Consider the following 19128-nt stretch of genomic DNA (forward strand, 5'->3'; position numbering starts at 1 on the left):
CCCAAATGCCTACTAAGAGGTAAATGGATAAACAAATTGTAGTATACCCATGCAATGGAATACTACTTAGCAATAGAGAAGAATGAACTACTGATACACATAGCAACATGAACGAATCTCAAAATAATTATGCTGACTGAAATAAGTCAGGCAAAAAAAAAACACTGTATGATTTCATTTATATAAAATTCTAGAAAATACATAGTGTCAGAAAACAGAATCAGTGGTTTCAGGAGTTGACGGGGGTAAGGAGGGTAATAGCACACAGGGACAAGAAGGAAGGATTACAACATGGCACAAGGAAACTTTTGGAGGTGATAGATGTTCAATATCTTAATTCTGGTGATAGTTTCATGGATATATACAGATGTCAAAATTTGTCAAATTGTATACTTTATATATAATTTGTCTATTGTAGTTCAATAAAATGTTTTTAAACATTTTAATATTAAATGTAACTAAACTTTCTTCTTGTAATCATGTTTTCCAATCCCAGAATACCTACAAGACACTAGGAGCCTTTAAATTAATTGAAACACTAAAATATTTTATGTCAAGATTTTTTTTTTTTTTTTGAGATGGAGTCTTGCTGTTGCCCAGGCTGGAGTGCAGTGGCACGATCTTGGCTCACTGCAAGCTCCGCCTCCTGGGTTCACGCCATTCTCCTGCCTCAGCCTCCCGAGTAGCTGGGACTACAGGCACCCGCCACCACACCCGGCTAATTTTTTGTATTTCTAGTAGAGACAGGGTTTCACCGTGTTAGCCAGGATGGTCTCGATCTCCTGACCTCGTGATCTGCCCACCTCAGCCTCCCAAAGTGCGGGGATTACAGGCGTGAGCCACCGTGCCTGGCCAAGGTTTTTTAATAGAGAATAAACAATACAGAGTAGGTTTGAAATATTTCCCTTACTACACAGTTTTGTTATCTAAAAGATGTTTCACGTTTTAACTTTTCAATTTGTCAAAAACATAAAAGACAGCAGGTTCAGGAACAGCAATAAAATGTTTGCATAACTGGTGCCTGGAACTGTAATATGAGTATGATTATTTAGTAAGTGCATCCAAACAATATACTTCTTTTATTTTAAAATGTATATACTTTGTGAGGCATCAGTCATTAAAATCAAGTATAAAAATAAACAGAAGTTAGAATCAGATGTTCAAGTAGCTGTATCATAAACCAAAATTTTGTTTAAATGAAGCACATTTAATGTCACTGGCCTCATCAAAATGAGAGCAAAGGTTATTGTACCATTAATAAATATTAGAATTATTTTTTAAAAGTTCATTTAATCTCTCATCCTTCTTTATTTCCATTTTTGTGCTTTTTCTTTGAGACAGAGTCTCACTCTGTCACCCAAGCTGGAGTGCAGCGGCACAATCGTAGCTCAGTGTAGCCTTGACCTCCTGGACTCAAGCAATTCTCCCACCTCAGCCTCCCCAGTAGCTGGGATTGCAGGCACAAGCCACCACACCTGGCTACTTTGTTTTTATTTTTTGTAGAGATGGGGTTTCACCATGTTGCCCAGGCTGGTCTCGAACTCTTAGACTCAAGTGATCCTCCTGCCTCGGCCTCCCAAAGGGCTGGGATTACAGGCATGAGACACCACACCTGGCCTGTGCATGCTTTATAATATATGACCAATACAGTGGTAAATAATGTAGTTTATAAATACTTATTTTAGGAGTGATAAAAATTTGGGGTGATAAAGGTGAGTAATCAAAAAAGCTAGGAAGTCCTTTACTTAAAGGCTGGTTAAGGGAAACTATTCTACAAATTGCCATATATTTTCATGATTCTGCTTGCATAGAGATATGATGTATGTTAATTAGGAAAGAATAAATCATTCTGATGATTGTAATGCAGTTGCTCTTATGCAAGTAGTACAGCATAATGAATAAGAATTTTTGCTGTCATAAGACACATTCAAAAGTGGACTCTAGGCTAGGTGAGGTGGCTCATCCTAGCAATTTGTGAAGCCGAGGTGGGAGGATCTCTTGAGCCCAGGAGTTTGAGACCAGCCTGGACTACACGGTGAAACCCCATCTCTCTACACACACACAGACACAGACACACACACAAATTAGCCAGGTGTGGTGGTATGTGCCTGTAATCCCAGCTACTTGGAAGGCTGAGGTGGGAGGATCACCTGAGCCCGGGAGGTCAAGGCTACAGTGAGCCAAGATTGGGCCACTGCACTCCAGCCTGGGTGACAGAATAAGACCTTTTCTCTCTCTCTCAAAAAAAAAAAAAAAAAAAAAAGTGGACTCTATTAACTAATTGTGACAAAGGCAATGACAGCATCTAAAGCAGATCAAGCTAAAGTACTGTCAAAACTAATACGTATTATTTGTGTGGGTTTCCAGAACATGGGTGAAGCATAGCCCTAAAAGGTAGCAAAATCTAGTACCGATGGGCGGGGGACTAGTTATTTGATAATCTAAAGGTAAAAGAGTTGATTTGGCCGGGAGCGGTGGCTCACGTCTGTAATCTCAGCACTTTGGGAGGCCGAGGCGGGCGGATCACCTGAGGTTGGGAGTTCAAGACCAGCCTGACCAACACGGAGAAACTCCGTCTCTACTAAAAATACAAAATTACCCTGGCATGGTGGTGCATGCCTGTAATCCCAGCTACTCGGGAAGGCTGAGGCAGAAGAATCACGTGAACCTGAGAGGCAGAGGTTGCGGTGAGCTGAGATCACACCACTGCACTCCAGCCTGGGCAACAAGAGCAAAACTCCATCTCAAAAAAAAAAAAAAAAAAAAAAAAAAAAAAAAAAGTTGATTTTAGAGCACGGAAAAATGAAACCAAATCCAGAGTATATGGTGGTCTGCAAAACTTAAAAAAAAAAAAAAAAAAAAGAAAAAAACTCAAGTAGAAAAGAAAGCTTCCAGGGATGCAGGGCTTCCTAAAATCCCCTTGTCTGGATCCAGCCACCTATGCACAAAAATACCAATGGATAACATCTTACTGGTAACATTTGCATGAGCATACAACATTGCTTACAGTCAATAAAATAATTGCTTTGGGATATTGTGTTGGTTATTGTATCAACTGCCCCTTTCAATTTTAGGGTGATGTCTCTCCTAGAAAACTATAAATATTCTTATTAAAATGTAACTGTCTTAGATACCTATTCCAGGCTACTCAGACAAATTCAAGGAAGTTTCAATTTATAAAGCTGCTAAGTCTGGCTTCTTAGAAGTTTCAAAGTTCCCTTTGGATTCAGACCCCAGCTCCCATCTCCCCACATCCTTTCTGGCTCTTGGGTTAAATAATGTAAATTACCTGGCCCCAAAGATTTTTCTGCAAGAGCTCCTTCTGCTGTCCTGGTAATTATCTTTGAATGTGTGCACAGTTTCAGGCCTTCCAAATCTTACTTCTTTCCCTGTCCTAGAGCTCTGTATTCTGCACTGTTACAGAATGCTCACTAGTTAGGAGGGCCAACTATGTGCTAAGCGGTACACTAGCTGGCTAAGAAGAAAAGAACAGAGCTAGTCCATGCCCACAGAGTTCACAGTTTAGTAACAGAGACACTTAAATAATCCTAAAAAAAAAACATGGTAACCAAAGAAATATATGCATGAGATATTATAAGAATACCAAGGGAGGGCACATAATTCAGCTTGGGGAAAGGGAACTAGAAAGAGAATATCCAGCAGTAGCACATGAACTGATTGTAAATTAATGTTTTTCAGCTGGATAAGCAGGAGAACGAGGGCTTTCCAGGCAAAGTGCGTAGCACTTACAAAAGCATGGAGGCATAAAGCAACGTGGTATGAGCAAGTAATACAATGATGCTGGTTGGTTTAAATTGTAAGGGAGAATGCGGAAGAGGCAGGTGGGGAATCACATCATGTGTGGCTGGCGGGTGCTCCATATGCTACGCGCAAAAACACGGCTAATTAGCCTTTGACAACAGAAATCATTGAAGAGTTTTATGTAAAGCAAGGACTTGTTAGGGCACACTGACAATTTTGCAGACTATGGATTTGAGGAGGCTGTGGCATAAATCCAGGGGAAAGATAACAAGAGCCAAGAGTAGAGGGCAGTGGCACTAGAGATGGAAAGGGGCATATTAAAGACATTACACGGAGAGAAAATCTGCAGGACCTGTGAATGTTCTGTAACACAAGTACGGCCTCTTATACTAGGACTTGGAGTTCTGATGTGCTAGATTTCTAATTAAGGACAGTATAGCATAGAATTGTGCTTAAAAGCACTGGATCTGAGCTGCCTGGGTTAAAATCACAGCTTTGCTTTTTCCCTGAATTAACTTTGGGCAAGTTATTTAACCTCCTTGAGTCTGTTTCCCCATTTGTAAAAATGAGGATTAATAATAAGAGCTCCTGCCTATGGCTTTGAGGATTCAAGCATGCATCATGAGTAAAAGGCATAGCATAGTGCCTGGCCTAGAGTAAGCACCCAATATTGGTAGCTGTTTAGTTTTAATTATTATTAACCATATGCTTTGGAAAATATATGAGCATATGGCAGTTTTGACATCTTTCTATGAAATTTGAGAAATCTAATCAGTATTCTTGCCTAGATGGAAGGTCACCGTACCTCTCTGCATGGAGGGAGGCTGACAAGCATAAATATGAAGCAAATGTTAGTAATTAGATATGATCAGTTTAAAGGATATTTATTTATACACTGTTCCAGACAGGATTTAAAGTGACTTACAAAGATTCATAAAACATCAAAAAATATCATAAATTTTAAAAATAGGATCAAAAAGAAGAAAAATAGGAGTGGAGACAAACTGGTAGAGTCAGTATCAAGGCTCCAAAACCAAAGGGCAACTGAGGCTTCCTAGGAGTCAGCTGGGGTCTAGACCCTCACCTGTCCATCCATGGAGCACATCTATGCCTCACATAAAATCCCCTAGGGCCTGCCTTCACAAATCCATTCTCAAAAGTTGTATGGGAGCAAAGCTGTATTTTTCCCTAACAATGAGAAATTTACAACTAGCTCTTAATTTTACAAAATTCTGATTTTGCAGTAAGGTTTTGGCTCCCTACGATCCTTTTCAAAATAGATTCTACAAAAGTAGAGTTTGCATGTGCTGAGGCATTTTGTGCTTTTCACTCCTTTTTTTTTTTTTGTGTGAGATGGAGTCTCACTCTGTTGCCCAGGCTGGAGTTAGGCAGCGCCATCTCAGCTCACCTCAACCTCCGCCTCCTGGGTTCAAGGGATTCTCCTGCCTCAGCCTCCCAGTAGCTGGGATTACAGGTGTGTGCCATCACACCCGGCTAATTTTTGTATTTTTAGTAGAGACAGGGTTTCACCATGTTGGCCAGGCTGGTCTCAAATGCCTGACCTCGTGATCTGCCCATCTCGGCCTCCCAACGTGCTGGGATTACAGGCATTAGCCATCTCACCTGGCCGGTTTTCACTCCTTTTAAGATATCCACCAACTGATGAAGATGATGACAATGATAGTTAACACTTCTATAATGTTTATTATGTACCATGCACTCTTCTAAGCACTTTATTTAGTCCTCACAATCACACTATGAGGTAGGTACTAAATTATTATGTCCACTTTACAAATGAGGAAAGTGAGGCACAGATTGAGCAAATAACTTGCTCAAGGTCACATGCCCTGTGACAGTCTGGTTTTTGGACCCAGGCCGTCTGGTTCCAGAGTCCAAGCTCTTAACCGTTACATTACATTATACTGTCTCTTCATATTCTGGCAATATTGCTCTATATGGTGATTTTTGGAAAAGGGAACATCAACCTCAGGAACTTGAGGTGGGGTTTCTAAAAGTCTTCAGCTAATAACAAACACAATGTTTGAGAGGCCCTCAGTCTGGCTTACTTTCCCAGACCCCTGACCTCCTCCTGCAATATGTGTAACACGCCAGAGCAACTCTAGCTCAAAGCAACATTATACACAAGACAATAACTCATTCCCCTCATCCAGGACATCCATCCTAAAAGATGGCAGGTGCATAATGGTGGGGCAGGGGGTGGGGGTGGGCAGCAGGGTGGAAGAAGGCAGTGGTAGTAACTAAAATGCCTCTTTTGTTAGCTCTTAGAATCATATGTGGGGACAATTTCCTCCAGATGGAATCCACATAGCTACCTTTCAATACCAACAAATTCTGTTCATAAATGGTTTGTAGAAATTCCCACTTAAAATAATATATACAACTCTAAAACAAGTCCCAGAAGGAAGTCAGATATCTTAATACTATATATTCATTTCTCCTGCAGAATGGTTGTTTTGGATATGTGGAAATGTGGTCCTTCATGATTCTACACGTTTGTCCCCTGCTCCTCAGCAACTCTAGAAGGTGCCTTAAACCCACCACCAATCCTAGAAGGCAGATTTCCATAAATGTGATACATAGAAGTAACTCTAAAATATTATAAAGACCATGTGTCCAAACACCCTACTTGGCAACAGGGAAAATACATATATTAAAACAAATCCCATTTAGCTTTCCAGCTTTCAAAATCTACATTTGAAGCTTCCTCTAACATGAGCCAGACACAAGAGCCTCATAGGCTGATGGGTGCAGGATGGCCAGTTTACCCTCTTCTCTGCCAAAAGCCCCTTCCTTGACAGCCCCATTTTTTAGATTTTTAAAAAATCTAAAATCCCCAACTAAAAGAATGGACTGTTTTAAAATCTAGGTCATTTATATGTACAAAACATTTTTAAGTCCAGTGAGAGCTGACACATTGTTATTTTTCAATAAGCCTCATCACCTCCCACGCAGAACACTATTATCTTTCCTTAGTCAACAAGCTTTGATAATGCAGCACCCCCGCAGGGAAGACCCTCTTCTCCTGCTGGGATCACAGATGGTGGGGATTTCTAAACTGAACTCTAACTGGCATCTGATTATTTCTTGCAGACCATGTCACCTAAAAATTACCCACACAGTCCCCTTAAATGTGAAATCATCATGGTTCATGACTAATCCAGCCCATGCTCACACATAACTGTGATTTCATGCATTTGGTTTCTTTTTAATTTTAGGGATGCTGTGATCTGGCTATGGCCACAGAAACCTTAAAACAATAAAAAATAACCTGTAGTTGAATTTAAATTGAATTGCATACGTGGCAGGTAATTTTAAAGTGTTACTTGAGGCCTATAAGATGCCAAATAAATGCTTATTTCTTTCAAATAAAATATTAATAAATATATACATGACCATATGTACATTAAAAGGTAGGTATAAATAATAAAATAAATTGGAGAATAATATAAAAATAAACATAAAATATTAACTTATTACAAGCCCTCTTTCCCTCCTAAACTGCTTAACCATAATTACTTTACACATTACATCAAATCCCTAGAGCAAGATTAGTACATGCATTATCAACATCTGGTCTACAGCTTGAAGCAATATCCTAATATTTTTAAAAAATACAGTATAAAAAATTAAAACCAATGAAATATTCAAATTAGATTTGTATATATTTGTTTATTTTCAATACTGACATAGTAAGTAAAAATACCTTAAAAAGTTCTAAGGGGAAAAGAGGTATGAGTTTTCATAATTCAGTAAGTATAACTTGAGATAAAGCAAGATACTCAAAATGCCTAGATGGACCTTCTTAGCCCCCATATATGTAAATATTTGATCCTGGTATTATCATTAGTTACAAATAAAGCTACACATACAGGAATCAGCACATCAATAAGGATGTTCTTTTAGTTTATAAAAATAATCTCCCCCACTAGATTGTAAGCTGTATGACAGAAGGGACTTTGTTTTGTTCATTTCTGTACCTTTGGTGCCTAGAGCACTGCCTGGATCATAATATGCACAAAATAAATATTTGTTGAATGAATGAGCTGGCATCAAGAATACCATATATCATATTCAGCCACACCCAAGAGCTTATCATCTAGGACTTCTCCACCTTTGATATCACTGATTCAACACCCCCTCTCTGACCACAACCTGCTGTGCTTCTAGCCTATTCAGCCAATGAGCCCCCCAACTAGCCCCATTCCTGTTCTCAGATTTCTTGGATGGGGGCAGTCTTCCATAGACCCTTCTGCTTTCACCTCCTCAGCTCCTTCCCATCTTTACTTCCTTCCCAATAACATTTAAATTTTATTGTTTCTTTCTCTTTTTTTTTTCTGAGACTTTTTCTCTATTGCTCTGGCTGGAGTGCAGTGGCATGATCTTGGCTCACTGCAACCACTGCCTCCTGGATTCAAGCGATTCTCCTGCCTCAGCCTCCCAAGTAGCTGGGATTACAGGTGTGCGCCACCATGCCCGGCTAATTTTTGTATTTTTAGTAGAGATGGGGTTTCACCATGTTGGCCAGACTGGTCTCGAGCTCCTAACCTCAGGTGATCCACCCGCCTCAGCCTCCCAAAGTGCTGGGATTACTGGTGTGAGCCACCGCACCCAGCCAATTCTATTGTTTCAACTGCACTCTTGTCAATATCCTCAATAATGCATAATTTCACTGCAAATATCTGATTTAAAAAACCATAGCTCTTCTAAGCCCAACTGTTATACTTTATGCATGCACAAGGACTCCTGAGATCTACTGGAGAAAAAAAAATCACACTCTGGTAGATTATTATCCATATGAATTCTTGGTCACCAAGCTCATCTTAACCCTGCCTGGCACTGCAACTATGCTTCCCTAGGCTGCTCTCCTGTTCTCCACAATAACTATTTCAAACCTTCTTCAAATACCACAAATATCTAACTCAAACCTTGTCCCATCTTAACCCCTGCTCTAAGAGGTTGGCCTTAACTATTATATCATAGAGAAATAGAAATACCATCAGACAAGTTCCTGCCGCCAAATCTATGAACCTACTTTCATCTATGCCTATTGAGGATAATCCTCTACCTCAATCTGGATCCCCTCCCATCTGGCATAAGGACTTTGCCTTCCAAGGATTTTGCTCTATTAATTAGTCCCTCCTTCCCACCAGCCTTTAAAGGAACTCAAGTCCTTCCTAAATAAATAAATAAATAAATAAATAACAGGTCCTCAATCTCAACTCCTTCCTTGCTACTACCCTTTCTCTGCTCTTCAAAGCCAGACAGATTTCTCTAAGGAATTGTACATAATCACTGCCTTCACTTCCTCATCTCTCCAATCATTTCTCAACCCACCATAGTTTAGCTTTCTGCCTCACAGTTCTCTGAAATTGCTCTAAGGTCACCAAGAACTTCCTAAATCCAATAGACAGTTCTTGGTCTTCCTAGATTTCTCTGGATCTTTAGTACCACTGACCATATTTTTAACATAGCCATTTCATTTTGAGAAACTTATTCTGCTGATATTCAAGTAAATTCACAAATATATATTCTGAGGATGCTCAATATTTGAAACAGCAAAAAAAAAAAAATTAAAGAACATAAACATCCATCAAAGGAAACTGACTAGTTATTGTACACACATATTAGGGAATATTGTGCCTTTGTTAAAAAGAAGAAGGTACGGTCTCCCTCTGATGCAGAGGTGAAGCTGGACTGTACTGCTGCCATCTCGGCTCACTGCAACCTCCCTGCCTGATTCTCCTGCCTCAGCCTGCCGAGTGCCTGCGATCGCAGGCGCGCGCCGCCACGCCTGACTGGTTTTCGTATTTTTTTGGTGGAGATGGGATTTCGCTGTGTTGGCCGGGCTGGTCTCCAGCTCCTAACCACGAGTGATCCGCCAGCCTTGGCTTCCCGAGGTGCTGGGATTGCAGACGGAGTGTCGTTCACTCAGTGCTCAATAGTGCCCAGGCTGGAGTGCAGTAGCGTGATCTCGGCTCACTACAACCTCCACCTCCCAGCCGCCTCCCTTGGCCTCCCAAAGTGCCGAGATTGCAGCCTCTGCCCGGCCGCCACCCCATCTGGGAAGTGAGGAGTGTCTCTGCCTGGCCGCCATCCCATCTAGGAAGTGAGGAGCGCCTCATCCCGGCCGCCATCCCATCTAGGCAGTGAGGAGCGTCTCTGCCCGGCCGCCCATCGTCTGAGATGTGGGGAGCGCCTCTGCCCTGCCGCCCCGTCTGGGATGTGAGGAGCGTCTCTGCCCGGCCGCCCCGTCTGAGAAGTGAGGAGCCCCTCCGCCCGGCAGCCGCACCGTCTGAGAAGTGAGGAGTCCCTCCGCCCGGCAGCCACCCCGTCTGGGAAGTGAGGAGCGTCTCCGCCTGGCAGCCACCCCGTCCGGGAGGGAGGTGGGGGTCAGCCCCCGCCAGGCCAGCCACCCTGTCCGGGAGGGAGGTGGGGGGTCAGCCCCCGCCAGGCCAGCCGCCCCGTCAGGGAGGGAGGTGGGGGGGTCAGCCCCCCGCCCGGCCAGCCGCCCCGTCCGGGAGGGAGGTGGGGGGGGTCAGCCCCCCGCCCAGCCAGCCGCCCCGTCCGGGAGGTGAGGGGCGCCTCTGCCCGGCCGCCCCTGCTGGGAAGTGAGGAGCCCCTCTGCCCGGCCAGCCGCCCCGTCCGGGAGGGAGGTGGGGGGGGTCAGCCCCCCACACGGCCAGCCGCCCCGTCCGGGAGGGAGGTGGGGGGGTCATCAGCTCCCCCGCCCGGCCAGCCGCCCCGTCCAGGAGGGAGGTGGGGGGGGTCAGCGCCCCGCCCGGCCAGCCGCCCCATCCGGGAGGTGAGGGGCGCCTCTGCCCGGCCGCCCCTACTGGGAAGTGAGGAGCCCCTCTGCCCGGCCACCACCCCGTCTGGGAGGTGTACCCAACAGCTCATTGAGAACGGGCCATGATGACAATGGCGGTTTTGTGGAATAGAAAGGGGGGAAAGGTGGGGAAAAGATTGAGAAATCGGATGGTTGCCATGTCTGTGTAGAAAGAGGTAGACATGGGAGACTTTTCATTTTGTGCTGTACTAAGAAAAATTCTTCTTCCTTGGGATCCTGTTGATCTGTGACCTTGCCCCCAACCCTGTGCTCTCTGAAACATGTGCTGTGTCCACTCAGGGTTGAATGGATTAAGGGTGGTGCAAGAGGTGCTTTGTTAAACAGATGCTTGAAGGCAGCATGCTCGTTAAGAGTCATCACCACTCCCTAATCTCAAGTACCCAGGGACACAAACACTGCGGAAGGCCGCAGGGTCCTCTGGCCTAGGAAAACCAGAGGCCTCTGTTCACTTGTTTATCTGCTGACCTTCCCTCCACTATTGTCCTGTGACCCTGCCAAATCCCCCTCTGCGAGAAACACCCAAGAATGATCAATAAAAAGAAAAAAGAAAAAAAAAAAAAGAAGAAGGTACTGTAGTTCTATATATACTGACACTGAAAGCATATTAAATTAAAAAAATTGCAAATCATATATATTATGATTCCATTTTTATTTGTTTACATTTTAGACAGATTGGATCATGGATGAATGGAAAAATGTCTAGAAAGAAATACAATCTTAACATTGTTACCTCTGGAGAGTGGGATAAGCAGGAACAGAAGATTTATATGTTACCTTTTATTGAGTCAAGTAATAAAAATGTAGTCCCATCCCTAAGCACAGCAACACTTCTAGGTAAGAAAAAAATTTCACAGGAGATCAAAAGGGAATGGCCGTAGAGACTAGGGGAAAATATTTTAAGGTCACCAGGGCTAAGAGAGAAAGGAGAGAAGTGTAGCTAATGGTTTCAAACATGGAATGAGAGATCTATTAAAAACAAGAAGAGGTAAGTATCCAATAGACAGAGAGCGTGAATAGATAATTCTTAAAGGGGAAAAATCACATGGCCAATACACATCAAAAAGAAAAAGTTTCACTCTTACTGGCAATAAAGATTTTTTTATGTTTGCTTATTAATTCAGCAAAATTTCAGAAAGACAATTTTCAGTTTTTAAAAAGGATTTAAGAGATATTCTCATATTTTGTTGGCAAATGTAAATTAGTAAGGCCTGTTAAAAAGCAATGTGACAATCTGATTTCTAAGAAAACTGAACTTCACAGAACTTATCACAATTGTAATTAAAAAATTATGTGATACAATATTTAATATACACTTCCCCTGCCGAAATAAGTTCCAGGAGAAAAATGGCCATTGTCTACCTTCTTCTCAGCCATACCTCAAGCATCTAGCTGGGTTGATGGATGGATAGATGGATAAATCTACATTGTAGGATCCTGACTGTAGGCTCTCAGTTGGTGCAACGTAAATCCTCAGTAAATCAACACAGAGCATGGCACAACATAGGCCCTCAGTAAATCAAATCACGCTTTCTGATGAGTTTAAAGACACTGATACTAATGGTATTCTGATGCCTGAATCGATAGAGCTACAAACAAGAAGCAGTGTAGATGCCATGGAAATTTTCTACTTCTTAAAAATTACTCAAGGTCAAGTTAGGTTTAGATAGTCACAGATATGAATATGAAAGCCACAGTGGTCCATCATTTCAACTATTCTTCTGCCAGGGCCATCCAATCTCCAGCCCTCTCCCTATTTCTGTCACGGCCACCCGGAAAAAATTCCCCATACTAGATTGTCCACACTCTGTTCCTGGTCTGATGAGTGCTGCCAGACAGAATGGATACAGGGTTCTGCGACTTGAGGCAGAGACAAATTCAAGTTACCCAAGCCATTTTAAAACTTTTTTCCAGTTTTATGGAGGTATACTTGACAAAAATTGTGTCTATTTATGGTGTACAGCATGATATTTTGAAATACACATACATAACCTGGATGATATGCCCCTAAAGAACTCCTCTTTTCGTCTCTCTCAAATGCTATTCCAACCCTTCACCATTCTTGCCTTCTTTACTCTCTGGTGAACCTTTCACTCTCTTGTTGGGGGCGGAGGGGCTCTCTCAAAATCCTGTCCCTCCACAGGTACTTCCTTCTCCATAGTTTTTACCAAGAGGATTGGTGAATCCTCTTGTTTCAATGGAAGAGCCACCACTTTTTCTCTAAGGCTAGTCTTTTCTCCTCTTTCACTCTGGCACTCCCACCCTCTGACTTTCTCGGGGACCTTGCATCATCAAGCTGTATGCCATCTGCACATAAATGGGCTCATCTATCTCTTATATTTAAAGTAAAACAAAATTAAATAAAACAGCCTTTTTATCCCCTGTGCCTTACTGTCTATAAGGAACACTCTCTCCTTCCCATCATAGCCAAGCTTCTTCAATGTATATACTACATGTTTTTAATTATATAAATTTATGGGGTACACATGCAATTTTGTTACATATGCAGTGGTTAAGTCAGAGACTTTAGGGTATCTATAACCTGAATAACATACATTGTACCCATTAAGAAATTTCTCATCATCTACCCTTCTCCCACCCCTCACCCTTCTGAGTCTCCATTGTCTATCATCCCACTCTCCATGTCCATGTGTATCTACCATATTTTTTATCAGTCCTTCTCAGTCCTCACTGCCCAACCCTCTACGATCTGCCTTCTCTCCTCCTGCTGCACTGATGTTGTCATTGGCCTCCTAATTGCCAAATCTAATGAACGTGTTTTTTAAATGTTTTATAGTGGGTTTTATCTGATTACGAGAGGGGTACACATCATGAACAAAGTTATGACATATGACAGACTAGAGAGAAAAAAACTTGCACTATATAATAGGCAATGGGTAAATATAACTAATAAATATAGTGTTCTTACAAACAAATCAAATATATAACCCAAAAGATAAATGTGCAAAGGATATAAAGGAGCAAGTCTTGGAAAAATACAAATAGCTAGCACAAATGAAAAGATGCTCAGCCACACTAGTGATCAGAGAAATGCCAAGTTAAATCAGTTAGATACTATTTTTCACCTATCAGATTGGAAAAAATTAAAAGCGTCATCCATCCTCAGCAAGGGCAGGAGGAAAACCACTCGCAATGGTGAAAGGGTAAACCCTCTTAGATGTCACTCTGGTGATGCCTATTTAAATTGTTTAATGTATATGTCCTTTGACCTAACAATTCTCCTATTAGAAAGCTATCCCACAAAAATACTTGTGTATATATATATCCTTGAGCATTATGCAAGAATGTTTGTGGCAGACGTGTGGTGGCTTGGACTAGGGTGACAGGCAGAGGAGATGGAGACGTGTGGCAGAACACATGATACAGTCTGAAGATCAGGTCAGCAGGACTCCCTCATGAATTAAATTGGGTGGAGAGCAGTGATAGAAAAAGAAGAATCAAGGGTGATCTTAGGTTCTTGGTTTGAGCAACTGAATGGATGATGGTGACATTTTACTGAGACAGGGAGTGCTGAGGGAAGAGGGTGGGAATACAAGGGCAATCGGGAGTGCCGTTTTGGCCACGTTACATTTGAGAGGTCTATCTGATAGGCAAGCAGAGATGTCAAATAGGTCATTGGATATATGAGGCTGCAGCTTAGAAGAAAGGCCTGGGTAACAAACATAAATTTGGGAGTGACAACAGTCTAGACAGATGTTCTTCAAAGCCATGCAGCTGGATGAGAGCCTCTGTGAAGATTTTAGATGGAGAAAAGTCCAGGGACTGAACCCCAGGTCACTGCAATGTTCAAAGGCTGGGGAGACAAATTTAGTAGAAAAAGAAGCTGGTCAGCTTTTTGTACAAATTTGAGTTTCAAATAAGTTAACATATATTAAATGATGAGAATCACATATTTACCACCTTTTGAAGGGCCCAACTCCTTCCAAGTCTGTCTTCTAAGAGATTCTGGCCTCTTCCTTTCTGAACATTTCAAAACACTTTTAAACAGAATAGCACTTTTTTCTTTTATGTTACACAGTGGTTTCTCCAGACTGCACAGTCATCCTGGTAGAAAACTAGTTAAGTACAACACAAATAGCACTCAGCTACGGCTTTTCCATAAAGTTCCATAATCCAATAACCACCTCATACCTAAAAGGCTATGGGTAACTTGAAACCAGAAGCCTAATTTGTGCCATCCGTTATTCTTTTGAGCTGTTCACTTCCCCATTGCACAGTAACTTTCTCCAGCCTCTTATTGATCTTGCGAGAAGCCTGAAAAGCCTCAAGACATCTGACAATCCACACCCCTTCCTCCCAGTGCAGTCCCCCTTCCTACCAACAAGAAGCACAACATTTTTACATTTCCACTTTTAAACTTTAGAGATTTCCACCCAGAGACTCATACTTTTAAAAAATAGAGAGGCCAGGAGCGGTGGCTCACGCCTGTAATCCCAGCACTTTGGGAGGCCGAGGAGGGCAGATCACGAGGTCAGAAGATCGAGACCATCCTGGCTAACACGGTGAAATCCCGTCTCTACTAAAAACACAAAAAGCTAGCCGGGCATGGTGGCGGGCGCCTGTAGTTCCAGCTACTCGGGAGGCTGAGGCAGGAGAATGGCATGAACCCAGGAGGCAGAGCTTGCAGTGAGCCAAGATCGCGCCACTGTACTCTAGCCTGGGCGACACAGCGAAACTCTGCCTCAAAAAAAAAAAAAAGTAAGAGAGAGGAAGTACTTCCAACTAGGTCAAAGTTGGCATCAGGAATGCAATCTCAAAGCAAAAATCAGCAGAAGTAAAGCTGAGTTTTGGGCCTGGGGCAAACTTACACCTGTAGGGCGACAAACTGGGTAGGCTTAGTTTCAGGTCCAGGAGTGCCTAACTCCAAGAGTGCCAAATTCCTAGAATGGCAATGCCATTAATTCATTAACAAATATTAGTATGCACCTATGATGTACCAAGGACTGTTCTGGGTCCAAGAGTCTACTGGTGAATACAACAGACAGCAATCCCTGCCCACAGGGTGTTTATGTTATGGTGGGTGAGGGAGTGGGAGGGCAGACAATAAGCAAGAACAATGTAATAAGGTAGGGAAAGGGCATATGGAATGTTCAGGGAAGGGATTACACGTTTAAATAGGGTGGTCAGGGCAAATTCCTAGCTGTGGTATTTCAAGTGCCTCAGGAAGGTGTCTTCTGTACCTCAACCCCACCATCACTACACCTCAGCCCCTTGAAGGAATGGCATGGTATGTCCGGTTACTGGCACAAATATTTGCCAACATCTTATATTTAAGACAAAGGGAGCTCCGAGATCCAGACCTTGCCCTTAGAGAACTTACAGCCTTCCAGGTGGAAAAACAACTAAGCAGTGTTAAGGGCTTTACTGAGGTGTAAACAAAGTGCTTTAGGACACAGGATAACTGGCAATTCTGCTTGGGGGAAGAAGTATGTGTTCAGTAAGGCCGTTCCAAAGGAGGTGACTTTAGAACTCAATCTTGAGGGATGGATAGGAATTAATGTCAGGGGAGGGGGAATGAGGGAGGAAAGTTAGCTTTTTAGGAAGAAAAAAAGGAACAGTTTGAGCAAAGTCCCAGAGATGGGAATAGGGAGGACATTTTCTTCCTATCCTTGTCTATGGTACTCCATCCATCCCATGACAAAACTAGCACACGATCACCCTCAGGCTCTCTGGTATGGCTGTCAGGAAATCCATATCACTTACCACTCCCTCATTTCTCCCCTAGCCAGCAGGAGAGGAAGAAGTTGAGTCAGGCACACATCCCTAGAATCCAGGGTTACCCTCCCCTAACTTCAGGACAATTACCACAGAGCTGAAAACCCGGGAGATTTCATTCATCTAATTACACTCAGGGATGTGTACTTATAGTGGTAACGTGGCAACTGGCCCATGTTGGAAATGAAGTGGGTAAGACATCAGTAAGGTAAGTAGTCCATAGTCTCGGCAGTGCATCTAAGGTGGAAGCAAGGAGAAAAACATATACTTGGGCTTGGAAGACAATTTTTTAATCACTTAGTCCTCATCCATGAGCTATTCAGTGTTCCCAACATCTAAGACAACAGAGGTGGTGTGACAGGATAGGAACACAAGCTCTGCCTCCGAGATTTTGAGGGCAAGGCACTTAACTTCTCAGTCTCTTTTTCATCATAATATGGTTATAACTGTAGCACCTACTGTATAGAGTTATTGTGAGGATTGCATTTTTATGTAAAGAACTTATCACAGTGTCCAGCTCAATGGAGCCTAACAACCAGAGCCTAACAAGCTCAGAGAGCCAGAATGCTACATATACTCACAGATCAATTACCCCAGAACAGGCCTCCAGCTCCATTTCACTGCTCTGACCAAGAGTGAGACACCTGAAATTGTGTTACCAGAAATGTTCATCCTCTGCCCAAAAAGGGCCTCACAAGCCAAGTTGGTGGTGCTTTTCTACTAGGGTGCTAAAAACCAAACAACCAAAAACGCAGAAAACTTCATCAAGGCCACGTCTCTGCATTAAACATTGTTCCCACAGCGACAAAAGTCTTAAGTCATTAATACCTCAATATTAATAGATTTATGAGAGGTGGGGGTGGGGAGCTTAAAGAGCAGAAAATAAGCCAGTTAAATATAGGAGGTCCAGGATGTACAGAAGACTCATTTTTGCCACAAATATACAAGGTCTAGGGTCAACCCTGCCAAGCACAGTACTCTGGAATTTTACGTCCTCTAATCCTGAAGAAGCAGGGTACTGGGGGAAGAAAAGCTTGATTAGAAAGTCACCACTTTTCAAGCCACCAGAATTCTAACCAAATGATTTCACCACCCCAAATCCCACCTCATTCAATGTTAAGGGTTGGAGGAACACCTTTTTCTGCCCCATTACAAACCAACACAGGAGACAGAAGCATTCTGTGCCCCTTCTGAGATCTCGGGGACCCTCCTCCAGTACCAGATCTCTCACAGCCTGCTTGAAGAGCGGCAATATAAAGCAGCTCCACAGCACACAGCCAGGTCCCCAGCCCCAAGCGCAGAGGGAGCCCACTGAGGCAGGACTCCAGCCAACCAGCCTCCAGCCTTTACCTGTGGCTGACTGGCCAACGCCAGAGAAGCCGCGATGTCGTAGGTCCGAAGAGAGTGCGGGTTAGCGACCCCGCTCGACGGCCGAGCGCTGTGAGAGGAACCCACGAAAAGGTGACTGGACGCCTTGGAGGGCGCAGTTCCCGCTAGGAGCTCGGCCCCGCCCCCGCCCCCAGGGCCAGCTCTCGGGAGGGGCACCAGCTCGGGCTGGCGGGAAAAAGCCCGGGCACTCCCCGCGAGGGGAGCCGAAGAGGAGAGGGGAGGCGGCTCCCAGAGGGGCACAGACCGCATTAGTGCTGGGTGGGTCAGGGAAGGGGCCAGAAGAAGCCCTGGAGAAAGAAAAGTGGCCGGGAGGGACCGCCCAAGCAGACGGGAGTCCAAGCCTGGGGATGCGGTCGGGAGAGGCGGACGGGGAGAGGGGAGACGCGGTCAGCTAGGGAGAAGGAAAAATTGGGGGACCAGAGAGCGGGTAGGGAAGACGCACGACCCCGAGATGGGGGTGGGGGCGCTTCAGCAGCGAAAAGGAGCTGGGGGTCCAGAAGGAGCACCGGACCGAGGGCGAGGGGCCGGCCGCTGGCTGTTGACCTACCTGTCACTTGCAACAGGTGCCTCCAGAGATCGAGAAGTCCCAGTGCCGGTTTCAAGGGAGGGTCTCCGGCTCCGGGAAGATCGCAACCCAGCTCCGGCAGCCGGCCCTTCTCACCCTCCCGGGAGGCGGAAAAAGCTGCAACTTTCCCTGGAGCGGGGAGGAGCTGGACTCTTAAAGGGGCCGCACAGCGCCCCGGGCTCCTTAGCAGGGGGCCACTCAGCCCAAAAGGGAGCTCTGGGACCCAAAGCCTTGAGACACAAGAGGAATGTCCTTCCAGGTTAGGAATGGGAGCCTGGGGACTGAGGATAGGGGTCTAACACTAGACGTGCCTCCTCACCCACTTACTTCCATCTGTTGGTCACTCTCTTAGACGGTGAAATCACCTGTCTCTTTCGTTCAGCTGAGTCAAAAGTTGTCAAATTGTCTCACACTTCTAAGAAGATAAAAGAGTATGAACTATCTAATTTGAGTAAATAAAATATAATACCATTCTGATCCTTTGACTTGTGGCCTTTTATGGCAAATAAATGTCTGTCTAAAATAGAAACGTTTTGGGCAAAAGCGTAGACTAAATTCATACATACACACTCAAGGACACAACTGGTTAAAATATCCAACTCACTAGTAATCAAAGAAAAGCAAATTAGAACAATAATGAGATTCTTTGGCAAAGATATTTTTTATTTTTTAATAACACTTAATGATGACAAAGTAGCCACCAAACAAGCTGTCTTAATTGCTGATAGCAGCATATGTTGGTTAAAAACCCTTTTAGAAAGCACGTGAGCAATATGTATCAATAGACTTGAAAATGTTTATACCTACCCAG

The 19128-nt window shown here is 43.7% G+C and overlaps 1 protein-coding gene across 19 annotated transcripts in view; it reads right to left on the reverse strand.

The window, feature by feature from the left end:
• The window catches only part of SYTL4 (synaptotagmin like 4), a 57631-nt gene extending 39214 nt beyond the window's left edge, over positions 1 to 18417 (reverse strand). For 8 of the 19 annotated variants that reach the window (NM_001370163.1, NM_001370162.1, NM_001370160.1 and 5 more), the window contains exons 1-2: positions 18300 to 18417; positions 17714 to 17801 (exon numbers count right to left, since the gene is read on the reverse strand). The gene's annotated coding sequence lies outside the window, so the exon portion shown is untranslated. Of the gene's footprint in view, positions 1 to 17713; positions 17831 to 18299 lie in introns of those variants that run through there. The other 11 variants (NM_001370161.1, XM_017029968.2, NM_001129896.3 and 8 more) reach the window with 2 other exon arrangements.

The sequence above is a fragment of the Homo sapiens genome, chromosome X, assembly GCF_000001405.40.
Source record: "Homo sapiens chromosome X, GRCh38.p14 Primary Assembly".
NCBI classification, from domain to species: domain Eukaryota; kingdom Metazoa; phylum Chordata; class Mammalia; order Primates; family Hominidae; genus Homo; species Homo sapiens.